The sequence below is a fragment of the Homo sapiens genome, chromosome 8, assembly GCF_000001405.40.
Source record: "Homo sapiens chromosome 8, GRCh38.p14 Primary Assembly".
Taxonomy (NCBI): domain Eukaryota; kingdom Metazoa; phylum Chordata; class Mammalia; order Primates; family Hominidae; genus Homo; species Homo sapiens.
Genome location: NC_000008.11, coordinates 17011019 through 17035660, shown reverse-complemented (window position 1 = coordinate 17035660; position 24642 = coordinate 17011019). Strand labels below are relative to the sequence as shown.

Sequence of the window (24642 nt, the reverse complement as noted above, 5' to 3'; positions counted from 1 at the left end):
TGAACACTTTGCTGCTTAAAGATTTCTTCCAACAGATAGCCAAAATTATCTCTCTCAAGTTCAAAATTCCACAAATCTCTAGGGCAGGGACAACATGCCACTAGTCTCTTTGCTAAAACATACCAAGAGTCACCTTTGCTCCAGTTCCCAACAAGTTCCTCGTCTCCATTAGAGATCAACTCAGCCTGGACTTTACTGTCCACATCACTATCAGCATTTTGGTCAAAGCCATTCAACAAGTCTGTAGGAAGTTCCAAACTTTCCCATATTTTTGTGTTTTCTTCTAAGCCCTCCAAACTGTTCCAACCTCTGCCTATTACCCAGTTCCAAAGTCACTTCCACATTTTTGGTTATCTTTACAACAGCACCCCCCTCTACCAGTATCCATTTACTCTGTTAGTCTGTTCTCACACTGCTAATAAAAACATACCCAAGACTGGGTAATGTATAAAGGAAAGATGTTTAATTGACTCACAGTTCCACAAGGCTGGGAAGGCCTCACAATCATGGCGAAAGGTGAAAGAGGAGCAGAGTCACCTCTTACATGGCGGCAGGAAAGACAGTATGTGCAGGGGTACTCCCCTTTATAAAACATCAGATCTTGTGAGACTTATTCACTATCATGATGACAGCGTGGGAAAAACCAGCCCCCATGATTCAATCACCTCCCACTGGGTCCCTCTCATGACATATGTGTGTTATTACACTTCAAGGTATGACTTGGGTGGGACACTGAGCCAAACTATATCACCTTGCCACTGCTCTATCAAATAAGCTCATGGAATATTCCAAATCTTTGTTGTCATTTCAACAATGTTCACAGCATCTTCACCAGGATTAGACTACATCTCAAGAAACCATTTTCTTTGCTCATTCATAGAGGCAAGTCCTCGTCTGTTAAAGTTTTATCATGAAATTGCAGCAATTCAGTCATATCTTTAGGCTCCATTTCTAATTGTAGTTCTCTTGCTATTTCACCACCTCTGCAGCTACTTCCTTCACTGAAATCTTGAATCCCTTGAGGTCATCCATGAAAGTTGGAATTAACTTTTCCAAACTCCTACTAATGTTGATACTTTTACCTCTACCAGTGAATCACAGATATTCTTAATGGCATCTAGAATGGTAAATCCTTTCCAGAAAGTTTTCAATTCACTTTGCCCAGATCCATCAGAGGAATCACTATCTATGGCAGCTATAGCCTTACAAAATGTGTTTCTTAAATAATAAGATGTGAAAGTCAAAATTACTCCTTGATCCATGGACTGCAGAATGGATACTGTGTTAGCAGACATAAAAACACTGATCTCCTTGTAAATCTCCATCAGACCTCTTGGGTGACTACGTACATTGTCAATGAGCAGTAATATTTTCAACTGAATCTTTTTTTCTAAGCAGCAGGTCTCAATAGTGAGCTTAAAACAATCAGTAAACCATGCTGTAAACAGATGTGTTGTCATCCAAGCTTTGCAGTCCCCCTAACATAACACAGGTAGCATAGATTTAGCATAATTCTTAAGGGCCCTAGGATTTTCAGAATGGTAAATGAGCACTGCCTTCAACTTCAAGTCACCAGCTGCATTAGCCCCTAACAAAAGGGCCAGCCTATCCTTTGAAGTTTTGAAGCCAGGTATTGACCTCTCTCTAGCTATCAAAGTCCTAGACGGCAGCCTTTTGCACTAACAGGCTGTTTCATCTCTATTGAAAATCTGTTGTTCAGTGTAACCACCTTCATCAGTTATCCTAGCTAGATCTTCTGGATCACCTGCTACCCCCTGCACATCATCATTTCCACTTCACCTTGCACTTTTATGTTATGGAGAAGGCTTCTTTCCTTAAATCTCATGAACCATTCTCTGCTAACTTCCAACTTTTCTTCTGCAGCTTCCTTACTTTTCACAACTTTAAAATAATTGATGATAGTTGGCCAGGCACGGTGGCTCACACTGTAATCCCAGCAATTTGGGAGGCCAAGTCGGGCAAATCACGAAGTCAGGACATCAAGACCATCCTGGCAAACACAGTGAAATCCCGTCTCTACTAAAAATACAAAAAAATTAGCTGGGTGTGGTGGTGGGAGCCTGCAGTCCCAGCTACTCGGGAGGCTGAGGCAGAAGAATGGTATGAACCCGGCGAGGCGGAGCTTGCAGTGAGTGGAGATCACGCCACTGCACTCCAGCCTGGGCGACAGAGCAAGACTCGGTCTCAAAAAAAAAAATTGATGATAATTAAGGCCTTAATCTGGATTAAGCTCTGTCTTAAGGGAATGTTGTGGTTTGGTCTTCTACATAGACCACTAAAACTTGCTCCATCTCAGCAGTAAGGCTGTTTTGTCTCCTTATAATCTGTGTGTTCACAAAGAGCACTTTTAATTTCCTTCAAAAACTTTTCCGCTGCATTCACAACTTCGCTAACTCTTTCCACAAGAGACCTATCTTTTGGCTTATGTAGTATTTCAACATGCCTTCCTCATTAAGCTTAATCATTTCTAGCTTTTGATTTAAAGTGAGAGATGTGCAACTCTTCCTTCCACGTGAACACTTAGAGGCCATTCTAGGATTAGTAACTGACCTAATTTCAGTATTTTTGTGACTGAGGGAACAGGGAGGCCCGAGAAGAGGGAAAGAGACTAGGGAAAAGCTGGTTCATGGAGGAAACTACACATAACATTTATTCTTTGCTGTCTTATATGGGTGCGGTTCATGGTGCATGGTACAATTACAATAGTAAGGTCAAAGATAAATGATCACAGATTACCATAACAGATAAAATAATAACGAAAAAGTCTGAAATACTGCAAGAATTATCAAAACATGACACAGAAACATTAAGTACGCGTATAATGTTGGAAAAATGGTGCCAACTGATTTGCTCAATTCACTGTTGCCACAAATCTTGAACTTGTAAAAAATGCAGTATCTGTGAAGCACAAGAAAATGAAGCACGGCAAAACGTATGCCTGTAAGCATCTGGCAAATTCTTCGATATTCTGGGAAAAAGCATTATATCCTCACATCTCAAGATATGCTGCCTTGACAAAAGAGGCTGGAAAACATATGGTAAAGGAAACTTAATAATGTATGACTATTTGCAATTATTACAGATATGAAAGAGATAAAAAATTTGTCTAACTAGTTTTCCACTCCACAGTAATACTCAAATATGTTGCTTGAAGCTTTTTAAGGCGAACAAATCATAAAACAAGATCATGTCTTCTGTACAATTAAGTAAAACACTGAAGTATGTTAAGCAATCTAATCGTTTTTTTATTCTGGGCATGAAAAAAAAAGGCAGTTCTAGAACAAAATTTTTTCCCACTAATAAAAATAGTGCTTTAAGGCTAAAACTTTGAGGTTCTAATCAGAATCATCTCTTTATAATATAAATAAAGGCCAAAGCCATAGTTTGCTAAAAAATTTTGGCAACCCAAACTTGCACAATTAAAATAAATACAGTGCCACGTGATCTGATCTCCCAAAGCCTGGAATTTTGACCTTTACTGAAGTCGTCCCAATTCAAATGCTAAAAATAACTGCTTTAGCTGAACAAAATATTAAACTCATTTCTCAGTGTATGTTCCATACAAATATTTAGCATGAGCTTATTTATTCAACAAATACATATTGTGCCTATCAGGCTAGGACCCTTAACAGGCAATGAAGACATAAATGTGACAAAGACGAACACAGTGCCTCTCCTTAAGGGGCTAAGACAAGTAAAGAAGACAAACAATGATCAAATAATTACAAAAAAAGACATTATCTGAAAGTAGAGAGAGATATTTCAACAAATCTATAGAGTCAGGGAAGGCATTCCGAGTTGAGAGCCAATGTCTTTGACATAAAAATCTTCAAGGCTATCATATAAGAGAACTGTATTTCTGTAAGTTACTGCTGTTCACTTACATCAGTTAAATTATTCTTATAACACATACAGGTTAATTTACACGCCAGGCTTATGCTCAGCAGCATATTATACTTAAAAGACACTTTATAAATCAGAAGTTCTTAGCTATAGTTTTAAACATCAAAATGAATCATTTATATCACTTCAGAAAAATCAAAAATAATAAATGGGCTGGGTGCAGCGGCTCACGACTGTATTCCCAGCACTTTGCAAGCTGAGGCAGGCGGAACTTGAGGTCAGGAGTTTGAGACCAGCATAGCCAACATAGTGAAACCCTGTCTCTACTAAAAATACAAAAAAAATTAGCTGGTCATGGTGGCCGGCGCCTGTAATCCTAGCTACTTGGGAGGCTGAGGTGGAAGAATCACTTGAACCTGGGAGGTGAAGTTCCAGTGACTGAGATCACACCCCTGCAGTCCAGCCTGAGCGATAGAGCGATGCTATGTCTCAAAATAATAATAATAATAATAATAATAATAATAATAATAATAAATGAAGTGGCAGCATAGGTTTAAAATAAAATTTCTTTTTCTTTCTTGAGCCAAGTCATGCTCTGTCCCCTAGGCTGGAATGGAGTGGTGCAATAATAGCCCACGGCAGGCTTGAATTCCTGGTCTCACATGATCCTCCTATCTCAGCCCCCTGAGTAGCTGGGACTACAAGCACATGCCACTAAAATAGTATTTCTGAAAAATGGCAGATTGACTCCATGATTCTATTTCAACATCTTCTTCCCCTAACCACATTAAATTCACAGTAAAGGAGTATAAAAAGGTAAAAATACAAAAGAGCTAAGATAGAGAAAAGAATGGGAAACTAAAACATTCAAGAGAATTTATAAAATTTTTATAAAATTGAAGAGATGGAGGAGTGATAATTGACTTAAGAGAACAGAGGCACTACCTGAGTTCTGCAGAGACCAAATAGAAGTAAGGTATTAATATTTGCTATACAGAATCCCAAAACGGACAAGGCCTTGGGAACTATGGAGCTATGGAATCAGAGTAAGTAGTTGGGCTAAAAGCAGAGGATTAGATAACAATACCTAAGTATATCATTAGATACTCACCAACATAAGTGCTGTTACATATATGTGCACCTGTGCCTGCTTCCAGAAGACTACTACACCTCCCATCTCTATTTTTTGTAGACGCTCAACAGCATCAGAGAAAAAGAGGTATAAAATACTGACATTTGGATGTTACACTAATAAGAAGCCCATAATACTCACCAACATAAGTGGTGTTACATATATGTGCACATGTGCCTGCTGCCAGAAGACTACTGCACCTCTCATCTCTCCTATTTTTTGTAGACGCTCAACAGCATCAGAGAAAAAGAGCTGTAAAATACTGACATTTGGATGTTACACTAATAAGAAGCCCTTTCGTGCAGATGAAAGGACATGTTATGCACAGACACCCTCTGAGAGGTTCTCAAGTAAGAGACAGGTAACAACCACAGATATGTGAGGAAAACCTCCAAAATGAAAGCAAGAGCTTATAAAATCAAACAGAAATAAAAAAGAACCTGGAAGAAACAAAGCAATGCACAGAGAAGGCCAAAGTTATAATTTATATCCTTAGAAGGCAAAACAAAGTTATAATTTATATCCTTACAGCAAAAAGAGAAAATATAGCAGCCATATAGAAAGCAAAATAGAATGCTATAACTCATCAACAACAGAGAACACAAAGTCGCTCTTTGAATTAAAAAAGTAGAATAGCAGAAATAAAAAAATTCAGTAGGAAGGTTGGAAGATAAAGCCCAGGATATCTGCTATAAAAACAAATAAACAGATGAAAATATTTTTTAAAACCGAAATATAAGAATGATTAGAATTAGATTAGGATCTGTCAGGAAATTTAACTTCAAAGAAACAGCATTTCCAGAAAAAGAGAATAGAAAGAGGGAGAAGAGAAAAATCATCAAAGAAACAATAGAAGAAAATTACACAGAATTTTTTAGACACGGATTTCCATATTGAAAGGCCTCTTAAGAACCTAGCACAATCAGTGAAAAAATACACATCCCGAAGCTCATTACTGTGAAAATTTCAAGCACCAGGGATAAACAGATCATAAAAGTTTTCAGAGAGGGAAATACAAAAGGCATGACAATCAGAAAGTAGGACTAGAGGCTAGGGAAGCATAAGACACAGGACTTTAACATTATTTGACTTCTAAAACAATGAACAGAAATTTTTATAAACACTAAGCAATAATAACTGCACAAAAGTACAAAATAAATAAACGAATAAAAAATAATTTTTTTTTTTGAGATGGAGTTTCGCTCTTGTCACCCAGGCTGGGGTGCAGAGGTGTGATTTCGGCTCACTGCAACCTCTGTCTCCCAGGTTCAAGTGATTCTCCTACCTCAGCCTTGCCAGTAGCTGGGATTACAAGCGCCCAACACCACACCCGGCTGATTTTTGTATTTTTAGTAGAGACGAGGTTTCGCCATGTTGGCCAGGCTTGTCTCGAACTCCTGACCTCAGGTGATCTGCTTGCCTCGACCTCCCAAAGTGCTGGGATTACAGGCGTGAGCCACCACGCTCAGCCAAAAAATAAATTTATTTAATGTTCTTTAGTAGTACCATTGTTTTAAATATACTGTGTTAACTCATTTAACTCTCATAACACCCCAGGAGACTATTAGCCTCATTTCACAGGTGAGGAAACAGGCATTGACAGGTCAAGTAATTTCTCCATAATGACACAAGTAGCAAGTCGTGGAGCCAAAGTTCTAGCTTTCTGAACGTGGTCTTTTTAAAAACTGCAAGATAACATCTCTCAACTGTAAAAGTAAAATTAATTTTAAGAAAGAAAAGAAAATACTACTTGAATTCCCTACCTTGCTGATCTGTTCCTAGACCAACTATGGTTAATTAAAAGTTCTGCCATCATGAAAAACGCTATGCTCCTTGCCAAGCCACAAAAGTGGATGTGTATTTGTGAAGGGGGAGGGGGTGGAGATTTGAGGGTATTTCCTAGTATTTTGAATATTCATGTGTAAAAGGACTTTATGTTATGTGCTTGTGATCTGCTGCTAGATAGTCCATAAAGCAGATTCCGTAACCTAATTGCATTGACAACCTCCACCAAAGGAAATGATGCACTTACATCAGATCACCACTGCGTATTAAGAACAAAGCCTATAAAAATTGCATTAGAAACAGCATAGCTCTCTGTTTTCTAAATTATTTTCATCTACGCCGTTCACATTCTTCGAGCCTTGCAAGGAAAATCTCCTTAATTTTCCTAGTCATTTACATGACTATTAAATATACTGATGCGACAAAAAAAATCACGCTCCTTTACTCACTGTTGCCTTTCACACATCTTTACCTTGTATTATTAACTACATAATGACAGTTGAACATTTTCACGTGACTTTCTTCTGTAGGAGTTTGTGTCATTCACAGCCTCCTACATTTGCTATCCTATCCATTTTGTGTTTTATCGTTACCTACTAACGGGATTCTGGCTTTAGTGGGGGAAGGAAAAAGAGAGAAATACTTATGTCTCTTTTTGAACAATTTTTTATTTCTTTTCAGACCTGGTAACATCAACATTCCCTGGGTATGATAAGGGCGTTAGCATGCAGGTTTAGCATTTCCTTTCTTGGGACTAATAAATTCTCATATGCTAAAGTAGTGGCTTTTGAGATCTCAGACCGCTGCTTCGAAACTCATTCTAATGCAACAGACCTCCTGGGTCATTAGCTGTCGCCCCGCGCAATCTAGGAGTTCCTTTTTCCCACACCTACAGCGGTCCACTTTCTGCCTGTCATGGCCTTCATTTCTGAATCTTTTTTTGTAAGAGGGGGAGGGGTGTTGGTTTTGGGTTTGGATTGATACTTGGTAGCTGCAGCCACCTTTAAGGTCCTGATGCATCAGGGACAGCATCACTGGTCTTCCCAATACGTGGGTGACCGGATCCTAGGCTGTCCGGCCTAGGTGTCAGCCTCGCTCACGGGAAGTTCCTCACCCGCGGCCACAGCGCTTGCACCGTCCCCACAGCCTCCAGGGTCCTGCGTACCCGGCACGAAGGTCACATCCCCCGCGCAGGTGTGACGCGCGCTCGCGCACTCACCGTCTCCTTGGCAGCCGCCACTGGGATGGGCAGCATCCCCCGGCCGCGGGGCGGGTCCTCGGGCTCCGTGGCCGCGCTCTTTGAGGGTCGCCCGGTCGCCGGCGAGCCGGCCCTGGGGTCCCCGTACAGCTGGTAGCATACCAGGCCGACCAGCCCCCCGCCGGCCGCCGCCGCCACGCTCAGCTCCCCCCAGCGCCGCCGCCGCCTCCATGCCGCCTCCGCCACAGCCCTCTCCTCATCCTCTCGGGAGGAGAAGGGCCGGCCAGGAAGGCCCAGGGTGGTCACCGCAGGCCGCCCCCACGGCCCAAGGAGGGGCTGGTGAGCGCAGAGTGGAGGAGACACCCGGGGTGGCGGCCACAAGAGCCTTCGCAGCGCAGCCATAGCGGAGGCCGCCCACACCAGAGCTGGGAGGGGGCAGAGAACGGAGGGGCGGGGGCGGGGGGGGGGGTCGCCGAAATCTCGCGAGAAGTCGGTGCCGCGAGCTTCGCGGCCGGCCGAGAGCGACCCCTACACTCGCGCGGCCCCGGGGACCCGCGACGCCACCTTCAGCGTAGCGGTCCCGTGGTTCGGCCCGGGAAGATCATGGAAGAGGCGGCGGATCCCGGCTGCTCCCCGGCCCCGAACCCCCAGCCCAACCACGCAGTCATAAATAACCGCGCCAGCCCGGCGACACCTGGCTACGCGACAGCGCGACACTGCGGGCACAGCCGAGTCAGCGTAACTGAGGCGCGGCCGAGTGCGGGGCTCTCTGGGGCCCGCGCCGCTGCTACGGGCGGGGTGGGTCTCCGAGCTGGGCTCAGCGCCCGTCTGGGACACTCACATTCCCTAACGGTCTCCTGACCTCAGGAAACTCAAGGTCTTGACTCAAGGTCGTGAACGATTTGCAATTGTATCTTCACATATACGACACAAATGAGGTATAAGCATTTGGCTCAAGTCATAACGATTGCAAATTAAGGCAAACACTTTGACGACTGAAGGGCAGCTTCCGGACTTTTGATGGGAGAAGGCTAATGCTGTTTTTTAGAAGCATTAGCACACCCGCGGTCACTTAATTCAACAAATCAGAACTGTCTTGTGCATATAAAAGTTAAAAATTTTAAAACTTCTGTGAATAAAGATAAAATCTTGAACGATACCCTGATTTTTCAGGGAAGCGCTGTTTGTATAAATATAAAATAAATGAGAAGCGTATTGTGTCATCTTTTTGTTTTTACTGTACTTTTTGTTTGCTATGTTATCAGTATCAGTTTTTATGAGAAAGTGTAGATGAAGTTCCTATCAGTTTCTCTCCCCAGACCCCAGTTTTGGTAACTTGAATTATGTTAGCTTTTTCTTCCTACTATGGAATGGTGCCAGGAGTCCCTAAAATATTGTGGATCTAAGGGGACAGACAACTAAATACAGTGGTCTCAATTGGGCTGCAGTGACAAGAGAATACACCATCAGTTGATTCTGGCAATTCTTGTAAAGACTAAAGGCTTTCAGAGACGACCAAATGAGTTTTTTCTGGCTCAGGTCCTACAATTTCTTCCCTTTTTTTTTTCTTTTTTTGAGACGGAGTCTTGCTCTGTTGCCCAGGCTAGAGTGCAGTGGCACATTCTCGGCTCACTGCAACGTCCGTCTCCCTGGTTCAAGCGATTCTCCTGCCTCAGCCTCCCGAGTAGCTGGGATTACAGGCACCCGCCACCGTGCCTGGCTAATTTTTGTGTTTTTAGTAGAGATGGGGGTCTCACCATCTTGGCCTGGCTGGCCTCGAACTCCTGGAGGTCCTGCAATTTCTATTCCTAACACCTTGCATGTAAATAGCACATCAGGTACACCCTGTTACCTCTTATTTTAATAGAGGTTAATGGCATTTTGCTTTCTTAAAGCTGCTAAAAGCGGTAAGAAGAAAAATCTTCTGTAGCAGATGAACAAATTTTGTGTATTTTAAAACCTGTCTCTGAGTTTTCTTCAGTTTCAGCCTGTGGGTTTTATGGAGTCAATGCCTAAGGAAGACTCTGATAGCGTCTTGCTTTATCACCAAATTTTCCTCAATTTATGCTTTCTCTATATTCTGTGAAATGGTAGTTTCCCCAAATAAATTATCTTCTGGGTAATAATTATATATATTATATATAATATAATAATCATATTGGCCGGGCGTGGTGGCTCACACTTGTAATCCCAGCACTTTGGGAGGCCGAGGCGGGTGGATCATGAGGTCAGGAGATAGAGCCCATCCTGGCTAACACGGTGAAACCCCATCTCTACTAAAAATACAAAAAACTTAAAAAAAAAAAAGCCAGGTGTGGTGGCATGCGCCTGTAGTCCCAACTACTCAGGAGCCTGGGACAGGAGAACTGTTTGAACCCGGGAGGTGGAGGTTTCAGTGAGCCGAGACTGTGCCGCTGCACTCCAGCGTGGGTGACAGAGCGAAACTCTGTCTCAAAAAAAAAAAATTATAATAATAGTTCTGACACTGTTTACTTTGAACTGAACATGATTTCCTGATTTTCTCATAAATTCTTATTATAGTCTAATGCCAGAATTCTTGGACAAACTGATCAATTTTTACTAGTTGCATGTTAAAAGCTAAGTAGTTCTAAAGAAGATTAGGGAGGTAATACAATAACATCACATTACAGATGAGGAAAATGACATCCTTCATCTAAGATGACAAATACAGACACATACGTATAGATTTCTATGTAGTTTCTCTATAGTTTTCTAAATTTGATAGAGCTCCTGCAAACAATTTATCTGGTTAGAAGCTAAGTACTGCTGTGAGAAGGGCTAAGTTTATGTTTGTAGATCAGTCAGAGAACTTTGGATAAAATACCTCTCACGTGCAAAAACAGCTTTACTAATAATTTTCAACAGTACTTTCCCTCTAAAGGTGAAATTTCCTTAAGAATAGTTACTGTTTTCTTCCCACGTTTGATGCTCTGTAACTATAGCTACACAAAAATAACCAAATTCCCTTGTTATGTGGATATTTTTCTGAGTTTAATTCCCAGAGGAAAAATTTTAAGAAAATATGATATTAGGAATTTGGAACCTTTTTTTTTTGAAATTTCAGGTAATATTGTTGGATCAATATAGAGTCAACCCAGTATCCCTTATCTTTTATGTCAATTCTACTGAGCATTAAGAATAACCCCCAAAATGCCCCTACTCCACAGTGAGAGCCCACACCTTGAAAGAAATATCCACTTATCGTTCACTATGGTCTAAATAAAAAGAAATGTTCTGAAACAATAAAAATGTTTCAAACAATGGGGATTAAGCCAAAAAGGGTTTTCCAGGAAAGCATATACCTCAGTGAATAAGTAATAAATTAGAAGTGAAGAAATCTGGACTCCAGTCTTGGATTTGCTGCATCTTAATTATAATGCTTTGGAAGCCACAGTCTCTAAAATAGTGGAGTTGAAATAGATGATCACCCCTGAACCCATCTTTCTAATGAACTAAAATGCTCCAAGTGTATCAGTAAACCATAGAAAGATACTTCATGGTATTTTTCATGTATCATTTCTCTTCTGAAAATCTACAATTGGCCTAAGATTGTTTTATTCTTTCAACTTAAAATTCCATCCCCGGACCACGCAGGCTAACGTCTGTAATCCCAGCACTTTGGGAGGCCAAGGTGAGTTGATCACTCAGGAGTTCGAGACCAACCTGGGCAATATGGCAAAACTTCGTCTCTACAAAAAATACAAAAATTAGCCAGGCATAGTGGTGCGTGCTTATGGTCCCAGCTACTCGGGAGGCTGAAATAGGAGGATGGCTTGAACCGGGGAAAAGGAGGTTGCAGTAAGCCATCACTGAGCCACTGCACTCTAGCCTGGGTGAGAGAGCAAGACTATGTTTAAAAAAAAAAAAATCCATTCCTTTATCTAATTATTTTAACCTTCTACTGCATTTAAAATTGCAAATACGTTAGTGATTTTGAAAAGTTTGAAAAAGTGGAATATAAGTGCAATAGGCAGGAATGTCTTGTTTAACAAAACTTCTATTAAAATATACTGCATTCCTTATTTTGGTCATTCTGAGCTCCAGATTCTTGACTAGTTAAAAGAGCAGCAGTTACATCTGAGATCTGTATCAGGGCACATGAACCACCCCATCCCCAGGTCCACTCAAGTCTACCAGCAGAGAGCAAGGTTGCAACCATCTTCTTCTCTCTTGGGAAAGTTGTCATCATTTTCTCAAATTGCCTTCCACCTTCCATGCTGTCTTCCTTAGGGCAAAACTGACATAGGAGACAGTGTTGGGGAAGGTATGTTCTTGCTCTGTTTTCTTCAAAGTGCTACCCACCAGCAATCTAGAACTCAATTCCTCAGCATCCAGGGCTATGGAAACCAAGTTACACAAGACACTGAGGGTCTGTTTTCTGTTTTGATGAGCTCTCATTCCCAAAGACTGTGATCTGTATCTCACCCTTTTTCCATTAGGCAAAGCCAAGCTGACTCTAAGCAACATGAGGCCAGGGTATGCATCTTCTAGCCCAGTTCCTGGCACACATTAGGACCTCAATTATATTTACTAAATGAAAAGCAATGTCTTGAAAAGGGGGGAAGGTGGAGGTCAACATAGGAAGGCAAGTTAGGTGACAAGGAAATACAATGGCCCATCAGACACTAAACAAGCTGACAAACCAAGCAGCACATCAATGAGGAAATGCAATCAACACAGATGGGAGGCCAAAGGGAAAAAGCAAGGGACTGGCAAAGAAGGATCACAGATAGAGTGTGGGCTAGGTGAAGTGGCTCACACCTGTAATCCCAGCACTTTGGGAGGCCAAGGCAGGAGGATCATTTGAAGCCAGAAGTTCAAGGCCGGCCAGAGAAACATAGTGAGAACCTGTCTCTACAAAAATTAAAATTAAAATTAGCCAGGAGTGGTGGTGCATGCCTGCAGTCCCAGCAGCTCAGGAGGCTGAGGTGGGATGATTGCTTGCCCCAGGAGTTCGAGGCTGCAGTGAGCTATGATCATGCCACTGCACTCCAGCCCCTGGGTGACAAAGCAAGACCCTCTAAAAAAAGGGGAGGGGGGTGGACAACAAAGTATGATCATGCAGAAAGCTTGATTCAAGAACAGATTTTGTGATTTTCAGATTCTAGCACTGAAGTTATCCTGTTACTATGATTTGGCCGTATCCTCCTGGACTAGAGCCTTAAAGCCATAGGTTTTCCCCAAGGCTCTCTCCATTTTTTTTTTTTTCTAGGCGGAGTCTTGCTTTGTCACCAGACTGGAGCGCAGTGGCGCGATCTCGGCTCACTGCAACCTCCGCCTCCCAGGTTCAAGCAATTCTCCTGCCTCAGCCTCCCGAGTAGCTGGGACTACAGGCGAGCGCCACCATGCCCAGCTAATTTTTGTATTTTTAGTAGAGACGGGATTTCACCATGTTGGCTAGGATGGTTTCGATCTCCTGACCTCATGATCTGCCCGCCTCGGCCTCCCAAAGTGCTGGGATTACAGGCGTGGGCCACAGTGCCCAGCCGGCTCTGTCCATTCTTTTGGTCCTCCGAGGAAAATGCAGCATCATCCATGGCCAAACATCAGTGATTGACTGGCCACACCTCCCCTTTTGTTCTTAGATCTTTCACTGGGGACAATAACCAAGCTGGCAATTGTACACTTTTAACTACCTTTCCAGAGCAGTAACACCCTCGGTTTGACTACTACGTCTATCCAGTCTGTTTTACATAATTTCCAGGGTCTTTGTTGATGGTGTCTCACTGTTCAATTTCTGCTGTTTAAGTCCCACAATCCCCTGTGTCTTTGTTCTCCATTTGGTGGTAGTGACTTCTTATGTACTTGGGACACAGGCAATAGCAGGACGGACTTACTACCAGCAAAGCCTCCCACCGGAAAACAAGGAAGCTCTTTCTCAATTGTCTTTTCCTATTTTCATGTCTGATAGTGATTAAAGCTTCTATGTCCATTAAAAAGTGTCTTCTGGTGCAGAATAACCTCATAGTAACATAATGATCACCCATTACACAAGAGTGACACTTTGGTAGCAAAATGTTATGGGATCTTTGGGGTGTTGTTTTCCTGTCCAGAAACCTCTGTGGCCAGTGGTTCCTTTGCCTGAGTTTTGATTGGGCCCGCTGGGCTTAGCAGTGTCTACTGAAGCTGGACATATGCATATCCTATGACCCATTAATTTCACTTTTTAGGTGAAAGACTCATGAAAAGAAATGAGTACTTATGTCCATCAAAAGACATATACAGGAGGCTGGGCACAGTGGGTGGCTCATGCCTGTAATCCCAGCACTTTGAGAGGCCAAGGCGGGCAGATCACGAGGTCAGGAGATCGAGACCATCCTGGCTAACACGGTGAAACCCCATCTCTACTAAAATTACAAAAAAATTAGCTGGCTGTGGTGGTGGGCACCTGTAGTCCCAGCTAATCGGGAGGCTGAGGCAGGAGAATGGCATGAACCCGGGAAGCGGAGCTAGCAGTGAGCCGAGATCGCGCCACTGCACTCCAGCCTGGGTGACAGAGTGAGACTCCATCTCAAAAAAAAAAAAAAAAAAAAAGACATATAGAGGAATATTCATAGTAGCATCATTTCTAATTGGCAACAAACCAGAAACTATTCATATGTTCATCAACAGTGGCTTGGATTATTTAAAAATGTGGCATATTCACATAATGAAATGATATAAAGCAATGAAAATTACTGAATTGCAACTACATGCAATCACTGGGATAAATTTTAAAGCAAAAGTGAGGTAAAGAAGGCAGACACAAAAGAACCAACTTTATTACTCTATTTTAAAAGCTCAACAACAACAACAACAACAAATAGATATAAATAACATTAGACATTAGGATGGTGGTCTCCCTGGGTGCAGGGAAGTGATTAGAAGGCAGAAAAAGGAGCTTTGGGAGTTCTGTGTCTTGATATGGGTGCCAATGACACGTGTATTTACTCTATAAATATTCGTAGAGCTGTCCAGTTATAATTTCTATAACATTTTTATATACGTAACACTTCAATAAAAAGTTTATATAGAAGAAAACATAGATTTTCTTCCTAATGCTCTTATACTAATGTGTTATTTACTAGAGGACTTTGCTCAGTTATGAACTATACAACTTTAAAGGAATGTGTAGAGCTTGAAAAGAGTTCAACTAAGAACAATAAAATTGATTGAAGAATTGGAAACTAAAGGAAAAGTTTAGCTTATATAAGCTTGATATAGCCTGAGAAGATTTAACCAAGGAGTATTTTAATAAACATCTTTTACTACTTGAAGACTACTAAGAAGATACTATTAGTGATTTTTCGTATTTATTAAGGAAAAGACCAAAAGGAACTTTGTATTTTAAGCAAACAATGTAGTGTTTTAACTTCTTTAACTTGCAGCATTTTCTCCTCTGAAGCGTCCATATGGACAGAGCCAGTGGGTATGTGATCGTAAGGCCTAGTGCAACCAGTACATACCCTTGGTTCTGGCTCTAACCCCCGACTGTCAGGTGTTGGATGGGGAAATTGCTTCAGGAGCAGATAAACAAATAGAAGGGCAGTCTTCAGAACAGATGGAAAGCTCAGAATAAAGAGGGAGCCATTAGAGACATCAAGAATAGCATAAGGTTAGTCAGTGTACATACCTGCAGAAGTTTAGTGGGATGGCAACCAGTTTCATCCCCTGCCAACTTCAGTTGATTGATATTGGTTGTCCAGAACACTGTGCTAAGTAAAATTATCAGGCCAGGCCCAGAAATCACAGGAAAAAGTAGGTCAGTATCTCTGCTAAGACTGGGCTATCAGATTGGGACTGAGTTGAGTTAGTTGTAAGTCCACCGTGGTTCTTTGGAAACGCTCTACTAGGAGAAGATAATGCAAACAACAGTAGGAACAGAACAGCTGAAAAAAAAGTTCAAATGTTTTTGTAATATGCATGGCAACATTTAATATTTACCCTATAAAGTTATAGAAGACCAAAAATAATTTAGAGATAGCTCAGTCTGGGAATTTTCTAATCTTTCTAAGTTTTTGTTGGGGGGTGGTGGGCGTGGGGTGGGGAGGGGAGTGCTTAGTGAAAACTGTTTGCCAAAAGAAGTCTTGTTTCTTAAGCCCCAAAACACAAAGTAGATAACAGCAGAGTGTCTGTAGTGGAAAAGGAGGGAAATCCGGACCTTGTCCATTTAAAGATTCCTTTTCAGCTCTCACAGTGGAGCCTGAAGTAACTTTGTAGACTACTGGGGCTTAAATACCACTGAAATATACACTCGTTCCATTTTTACTGACTGACGAGGAAACTGAGAGGCTGCCAGGTTAAAGGATTTTCTTTGAGTTATACTACCAGAAATTGAGCCTAGATATTCTGCCCTACATCTAGATAGTTCCTGCATTACAATCATCAGAAACTGACGGAATTTAAAACCGTTTTTCTTAAGGCATATTAATTTCCAAGGAATCAAATAGCAATTGCATTAGCTCAAGTAAAAGACACATTTTAAGGATAAAATTATAGAGAATCCAGAGAAAAGTGGTACTATGAGGTGTCAGGAAGTGTGGTAACCGGGTCAGCTCTAGGGACCTACATCATAAGAGCTCAAGGACATTCATTCTAGCACACTGCTGTGAGCATGACTTGGCTACTAATTCTACCAATCTCTATGAATCTTAATGCAAATCCTAAAGAGAAAGCATTAGGTTGGTCTGGCCTATAGACGTTTTCTTCCTTTGTTAGTTTTTCACTCCTAGGCCAGCCAGCTGTGTCTGGGAGGAAAGGTGTGGAGTCATATGGAGATGCAGTTTCTGGGAAAGGGAGAACAACTTCCCTTAGAAGGCCCTGTGGGCAGGTATCAGTGATGTGCTGGTAAGGTGTTAACAATGGGTTCTGGGGTAGAAGAGGTGGGGAGTTCTGACTTGTAGTGTTTTCAGATTTCCATGGCGTAAATACTCCCACCGTGGTGATTTCAGGCTACCAATACGACATTACTGATTGCAGATTGGGAAGAGATGCATGGTAGCACATTACGTGGAATTTCCACTATCTACATCATATAAAAGATATAATGGTAAAGTAAAAGTGATGTTTTTAGTGCTTATTACATTTTATATTTACCTAATAAATATAAATTATATTACGTTTAATATAATTATCTAATTGTAAGTTTACATAATTTAATTTTTAATAAAGTCTCTAATAACTGGCTCAAAAATTCCTGAAAATTTAACTATCAGCTCTAGTGAGTTAGTGCAAGCTGGCTCCAGCCCACCAATATGGTATTTAAACATCACCATCTCCACTTGAGTTTGGAGGCTCTTGAAGACCGCTTTTGACATAAGAAAAGGACAGGGTGAGTGGGACATATGACTAAGCCAAAAAAGATTAGGATTAAGAATTTGCATTTATGGAAGCATCACTTGCACCCAGGAGTTCAAGGTTCCAGTGAGCTATGTTCACATCACTGCACTCCAGCCTGAGTGGCAGAGTGACACTCTGTCTCCAAAAAAGAGTAAAAATAAAAATAACAATATGCCGGGCAAAGTGGCTCACACCTGTAATCCCAGCACTTTGGGAGGCCGAGGCAGGGAGATCGCTTGGGCCCAGGAGTTCGAGACCAGCCTGGGAAACATAGCGAAACCTGGTCTCTACAAAAAAAAAAAGAAATTAGTAGGGCCTGGTAGTGTGTCCCTGTAGTCCTAGCTACTCCAGAGGATAAGGCCAAAGGATCTCTTGAACCTTGGAGGCAGAGCCTGCAGTGAGCCAATATTGCGTCAATGCACTCCAGTGTGGGCAACAGAGCCAGACCCTGTCTCAAAAACTAAAAAATAAATAAAAATAAAAATAATCAAGAATTTGCCTTTAGCCACAAAGGGCAAAATGAATTTAGCCCTCCTTTAATGAAGAGGAGGGAAACAATGTTTCTCACCCTCCCATGATTGTTAATTGGTTTCAATCAGTGTATATGCAGTTACCACTATGGAATTATTTCTACTCTCTCAAATTAATTGTATTTGTTGTTCCAAAGACTTGGAATTAAGGAATCATCTCAGGTCTGTAGATACTGGACAGGTACAACTAACTACTCAGATGAGGTAGGCATTATTCTTGAGCTGAGTTTGTAGGTATTCAGTTAAAAAGATGGGCTTTTAACAGCTGATATCCAGTAGGGACCAGCTCTCATTTGATATTGCCAGGTAATGAAGTCTTGCTTTAGGTTAAGGTCAATTTTTAGGCTTGATCAAAATATATGATTTCAAATTCACAAGCATATAATACATCTAATCAATTCTTGTATTTATTATACTTAAATTTCATATTTTGTCCACATGAAGGTATTCATTCTTAAGCCAAAGTAATTATTGAGTGTTTAGGTCAGTATGCAATATATTTTTCTTTTAAAATAAATTAGTTTGCCTCAAACACTAGAGACTGATCTAAAAGCGAGTCTGAAAATAGGAGAGTTCATAAATTCCTTGGCAACTGAAGCATATCAAAACTCTTGCACTTCAAAAATGATTGCAGATATTTTTCAGGATGATCTCAAATCTTATGTTCGGGAACCTGCAAACCTCGGACCACCACATCAAGGGAAATGAAGTGAACCTTTCACTTGATGACAAGACTTTGTAGAAAACCACTAAATTAGCTACTCTAACATCATCATGCAGGTGCATGGGTCTCCTTGAACAAATTATTCCAGAGTAAGATGGCCTATTCCTCCATCATTCCAGTGTTATACCAGGAAACCAGGTTTGATTAGGATTTCATTGTGTGTAGCATAGTATTTGTTTCAGGGCATATGCTTTGATCAAAATCTATGTAATGAAGACGTATACTCCATGATATCTAGAATTAATCATTGAACTATGTCTATGGCTAAACACAAATGTTACACTCATTTACTTATTAAACACCTATTTGCCTGTGAAGAGTTTGTCTCTAAAAGTGAATTTTAAATATAGAAGAACACCAAACAATAATAAAACCAGTATATAAAACTCGAGGTTATTGTCCAAATCAGGTGCTTTTTTAAACTGAAAAGTAAACAAATGAAGAAGGAAGAGCTGAAAGATGCACTAATAGAACACTTCATTATTTTAAGTCCTACGAAAGTAGAAACACATGAGAAATGAATTTCAGCATATGGTGTGAATGCTCCTTTGTTATTACTTCCAGTCTGTATATTAAAATTCAGTTTTCTTCTAATCTTTCTTCAATAATTATGAAGGATTGAGATGACTGTCAACCAGAAAAGGCAACCAGGCAGTTGAAGATGTGAAACTATAGCCTTGGGAGAGAGGTCTTAAATGTGGTAACTGACTACTGCATGGAGTCCTGTATTGGAATTTAAATGAGTTTCAAACGTGAGATTAGTAAAAAGGAAAAACTTTGCTTTGAAAGTTCACATATGCAGTAAATAGATTATGTTAGAGTCAAAAAAGTATAAATTACATAGTGTTTATATCATAATGATTAGGAACTTGCAGATGTATCTACAGAAATACATGTTAGGATTAAGAGAACTTTGGAAATTGAAAAGTCATGTATCTATAAAAGTATTCTATCTGGATATCTGTTTTGATAAAATCAGCCAAATATCAAATCAATATAGAAGTCCCATAATTTGAACCCTCCTTATCTTCTTTAAAGCTCTGATTTTAAGGGTAGGAGAATTTAAGTAATTTGAAGAGACAGGCTTGTGAAAATTAGTCTACAAAGAAAAGTTATTGAATTCTCTTTTCCTATTAAATTTTCTCTTCAAATTTGGAGAGACAATCACAGTGTGTTAGACTGAATGGAACCACAGAGATAATCTAATCTAAGGACTGTGTTTTAGGGAGGAGGAAACAAGAATGAATCGTGTCTTGCCATGGGAAATGTCCTGATCTGTTTCCTGTCTGTTTCCCACCCTTTTTCTGGCACTCCCTAACAGAACTCAGCTAAGGTATAACTTTTCCCAAAATGCCTCACCTTTCCCAAGGCTGGGTTAGCACATGTTGCTGCCTATGTTTTATTTATTTATTTAACTTATTTTAAGTTCAGGGGCACATGTGCAGGTTTGTTACATAGGTAAATTTGTGTCATGGAGGTTTGTTGTGCAGATTATTTCATCACCCAGGTATTAAGCCTAGTACCTGTTAGTTATTTTTTCTGATCCTCTCCCTCCTCCCACCCTCCACCCTTTGACAGGCCCCAGTGTGTGTTGTTCCTCTCAATGAGTCCATGTGTTCTCATCGTTTAGCTCCTACTTATAAGTGAGAACGTGTGGTATTTGATTTTGTGTTCCTGCGTTAGTTTGCTAAGGATAATGGCCTCCACCCTCATCAGTTTCCCTCTGCAAAGGACATGATCTCATTCTTTTTATGGCTGCATAGTATTCCATGGTGTATATGTACCACATTTTCTTCATCCAGTCTATCATTGATGGGGGAAAAATTTTGCAAACTGTGTATCCAACAAAGGTCTAATATACAGCATCTATAAGGAACTTGAGCAAATTTACAAGAAAAAAACAACCCCATTAAAAAGAAGACATGGGCCGGGCACAGTGGTTCACACCTGTAATCCTAGCACTTTGGGAGACCGAGGCAGGTGGATCACCTGAGGTCGGGAGTTTGAGATTACCCTGGTCAACATGGTGAAACTCCGTCTCTACTAAAAATACCAAAATTACCTGCGCCTGGTGGTGCGTGCCTATAATCCCAGCTACTCCGGAGGGTAAGGCAGGAGAATTGCTTGAACCAGGGAGACAGGTTGCAGTGAGCCGAGATAGCGCCATTGCACTCCAGCCTTGCTGACAAGAGCAAAACTCCGTCTCAAAAAAATAATAATAAAATTAAATTAAAATTATAAATAAATAAATAAATAAATAAATAAGAAGACATATGGCCAAGTGCGGTGGCTCATGCCTGTAATCCGAGCACTTTTGGAGTCCAAGCCTTGCGGATCATCTGAGGTCAGGAGTACAAGAGCAGCCTGGCCAACATGGCGAAACCCCGTCTCTACTGAAAATAGAAAAGTGAGCTGGGCCTGATGGTGGGCTCCTGTAATCCCAGCTACTCGGGAGGCTGACGCAGGAGAATTGCTTGAACCCAGTAGGCGGAGGTTGCAGTGAGCTGAGACCACGCCATTGCATTCCAGCCTGGGCAACAAAAGTGAAACTCCACTTAAAAAAAAAAAAGAAGAAAGAAAGAAAGAAAGAAAAAGACATACATGCAACCAACAATCATATGAAAAAAAGTTCAACATCACTGATCTTTAGAGAAAGGCAAATCAAAACCACAATGAGATACCATCTCACACCAGTCAGACTGGCTATTATCAAAAAGTCGAACTAGATGCTGGTGAGGTTGCGGAGAAAAAGGAACACTTATGCACTGTCGGTTTGAGTGTGAATTAGTTTTTGGAAGACAGTGTGGCAATTCCTCAAAGACTTTAAAACAGAAATACCATTAGACCCAGCAAGCTCATTACTGGGTATATACCCAAAGGAATAGAAACTGTTTTATTATAAAGACATGTGTATGAACACTGTAGCATTATTCACAATAGCTGCTACCTACTTTTAATAAAGCACCTTGAACTCCCCCAATCATAGCACTACAACTCGAATGTAATGTGTTCCTTTACTTGCTTGTCTCCACCAGATGGACTACAAGCTTCAGGAGGACAGAAATCATATTTGCCTTTTAATGAACACAGACATTTCCTTTGGTGTAGTACAAACTTACATATTTTTTGGATGAATGACAAATACAGCACTTGTTTTTGTAAAATTACTGAGAATCCATGCAAATTTAACCTGAATAGAAGTTCTTTCTTCAGGATAATGGAGCTATGGATTGAACTGTTGTTCAAAATTCAGAAACTCAAGTCAATCATCTACTAGATCAAAAAAAGATTGCCCTGCAAAATACATTTCTATTGTAATCGCTCATTAGAAATACTTACCATGTATTAGGTAACTTTGAGGAAATAATAGCAGATCTGAGTTTACTGAAGTCAGTCATAAAAGGCTGCTGTCTGAACCTTTCATCTGTTATTTTAAAAAATTCAGAGGTTATTTGCTGATGTGATTGTGTGTTTTTGTTGTTGATTCTGATAAAATGCAGTTTTATAGGTGACGCAGTTCTCATAGAAGAGCTTCTCTTTTTACTTGTTTTGTATAACAGCAAGCTACTCAAAATCCAGTTCCTTGCCATTTCATTTACTTGACTCAGCTCCTTGTCCTTAAACTCGTTTCACAATTTCATTGCCAGCTAGAAACTTATAAGCCTTGTTCGCAGGAAGAGCTTGAGTCAAATATTTTCAGCGTCAACACTTCCGCGGTATCCTGACAGCTGCACAGTATCTGTTGAGCCGCTCTCTACTCCTCCTCAAGACTTTGACATTTTCACAATTTTTCTGTGATTTTTATCTTCACTAACGACCTGCTCATGATAATTGTGCTGTCTTTCTTTTTTTCATTTTTGGAAGTGATAGTTGCATGAGGAATTTACCAATAGTGTGACTAGAAGCTGGAGAAGTGAAACTTAGAAGCATTCATTCCTGCGTATCAAGGTTCCTCTTGGCCTTATCAAGGGTTTGGCAGCGTATGTGACCACATCGTCCTCTAGTGGCTGACCCCATAAGAGGCCGGTGGCCGCTCCCCCTCTGCGGCAGAGAATGTTCTTTCAGTGCATGGCTTTATGACTAGAGGTTGTTATTTTTAAGGTAAAGGATATTTTTCTTAGTAAGCGCCTGTTTTCTAACAATCAAGTTACATTTTATGTCTTCAAACAAACATCCTATGACTTAGAACTATCCTTAGTTGGAGTAAATATAAACATTAATTCAAGAAATCAAAGCAAATATTTCAGATATCTGAAACAGTCTTAAGGAGCATATCGATCAATCAACAGATACTTATCAGGTAGGTAAAATATGCCAGGCACTGTTGTAGGTGCTTGATGTACATTAAAAACCAAAATTGATGAAGATCCCTGCCTGCATGGAGCTTCATTCTAGTATGAGGACTTCACGAATGAATGTGTGTTTCTCCCAGGCTATCCTCAAACCAGACTCCTTGTAAATGTGACATATTTCAATAGTCATATTCTGTGTTCTGTAAACTGTATTCTGAATATTCAGTAAGTCATGTAATTGTTTTTGTCTTATCTGCTCCAGACCCCCTTCAGGGCAAGTAGGAGGTGACTGGCAACACATCACATATTAAGCTGGTGGCAACACATTGCATATTAATCACGTATTAATAATCACATATGAATCACATATCAATCATGCCTTGTCATTCAGAAGTGTTATACAGCTCCCATGCACTAGTGTTTCCTACTGCAGAGTGATCATTATACAAAGCTATTTATGTCTTCTAAAATGGTGTGCCAAAATTTAAGAAATGCCCTTTTTAGTCCTTTCTCTATTTCTCTTCTCCCAGTTCACCTCCCTATGGGGATGGAGGTTTATTTTTACTCCTCCAGCTGTCATTTGGGTAAACTCTGGAGGGGCAGATCTTGCCTAAGGCTAGATTTCAGTTCAACATAAACAGGACTAATTACCTCAGGCCTCTAGTTAGGACACAGAAATGGGTAAATAAGGCTTTAGTTACCACCATCACTTTGCTTGAGAGAATGAAATTTCAAGGTAGTTTAATAAATCATGATGCCATTTTCTGACTTTTAAAGAGAATGTAATTTGTCTATATTTTTTATCTTACCATAGATTAAACATTTGTATCTCCATTCCTGTAATGGTATTTTTTTATTTCTAGCGAATTCTAAGGAGAGACAATGAACAAATACATTAATTGCATAAATCTACTGACTTCTTAAATTTTATATTAGATTTTTTTTCTTTTTTTTTTTTTTTTACACAGGGTCTTACTCTGTGGCCCAGGCTGGAGTGCAGTGGCACTGCGATCTCGGCTCACTGCAGGCTCAACCTTCCAGGCTCAAGCCATCCTCCCACCTCTACCACCATGTAGCTGGGACTACAAGCGTGAGCCACCATGCCTAGGTAATTTTTGTATTTTTTGTAGAGATGGGGTTTCATCTTGTTGCTCAGGCTTGTCTTGAATTCCTGGGCTACAGAGATCCTCCCACCTCGGCCTCCCAAAATGTTGGGGTTACAGGTGTGAGCAACCATACCTCACCATGAATAGATTCTTTATAAGAGTACAATTTTAAAAAATCAGAGTTTTGATGGCAATTATATGCCCTTAGAAAGGGCACTTTAGCTGATTTTTTAAAAATTTTAACCTCCACAGCACTGCCAGAGCTGAATATTGATTATTTAATTTTTAAATTCTTATTAAAAAAACACTCCTCTCATGTTTACACTGCCATTATCTTTTAGAAGAATACAGCACATTTAATTTAAAATACTGTTTATTTGAAAATGGAAAAATTAAGAACAAAGAGGCTTAATAACATTATGGATACATTCTGGGATTCTGGGAACAACCAAGTATAGTAATGCATATGAACAGTGATGTCAATTTGAACCACATTTTTTTAGGTATACTTCATTTGCTCTAGAGAATCAATGTTTATTACTATTTGGATATTTGCAGCATAATTTGGTGAGAATACCATTGGAATTAGATGTGAAATATTTTAATTTCAATTATGATTTTCCCATTAACTAGGTGAGATTAATCCAAAAGCCATCTTCCTCATCTGTAAAA

General features: G+C 40.4%; 1 protein-coding gene across 33 annotated transcripts in view, besides 2 other annotated features; it reads right to left on the bottom strand.

The window, feature by feature from the left end:
• Positions 1–8423, bottom strand: part of MICU3 (mitochondrial calcium uptake family member 3) — a 111403-nt gene extending 102980 nt beyond the window's left edge. For all 33 annotated transcript variants that reach the window (XR_007060729.1, NR_182123.1, XR_001745514.2 and 30 more), the window contains exon 1: positions 8001–8423. Coding sequence is in view for 23 of the 33 variants with exons in the window: in NM_181723.3 (NP_859074.1) it covers positions 8001–8381 (381 nt within the window). In the remaining 10 variants the exon portion in view is untranslated. The remainder of the gene's footprint in view (positions 1–8000) is intronic.
• Positions 7796–7885: an enhancer, noted in NCBI's record as "active region_27046". NCBI's record gives its function as "activates an Ori minimal core promoter by ATAC-STARR-seq in GM12878 lymphoblastoid cells {active_cell/tissue: GM12878}" and the evidence as "EXISTENCE:reporter gene assay evidence [ECO:0000049][PMID:35858748]".
• Positions 8036–8445: a silencer, noted in NCBI's record as "silent region_18959". NCBI's record gives its function as "represses an Ori minimal core promoter by ATAC-STARR-seq in GM12878 lymphoblastoid cells {active_cell/tissue: GM12878}" and the evidence as "EXISTENCE:reporter gene assay evidence [ECO:0000049][PMID:35858748]".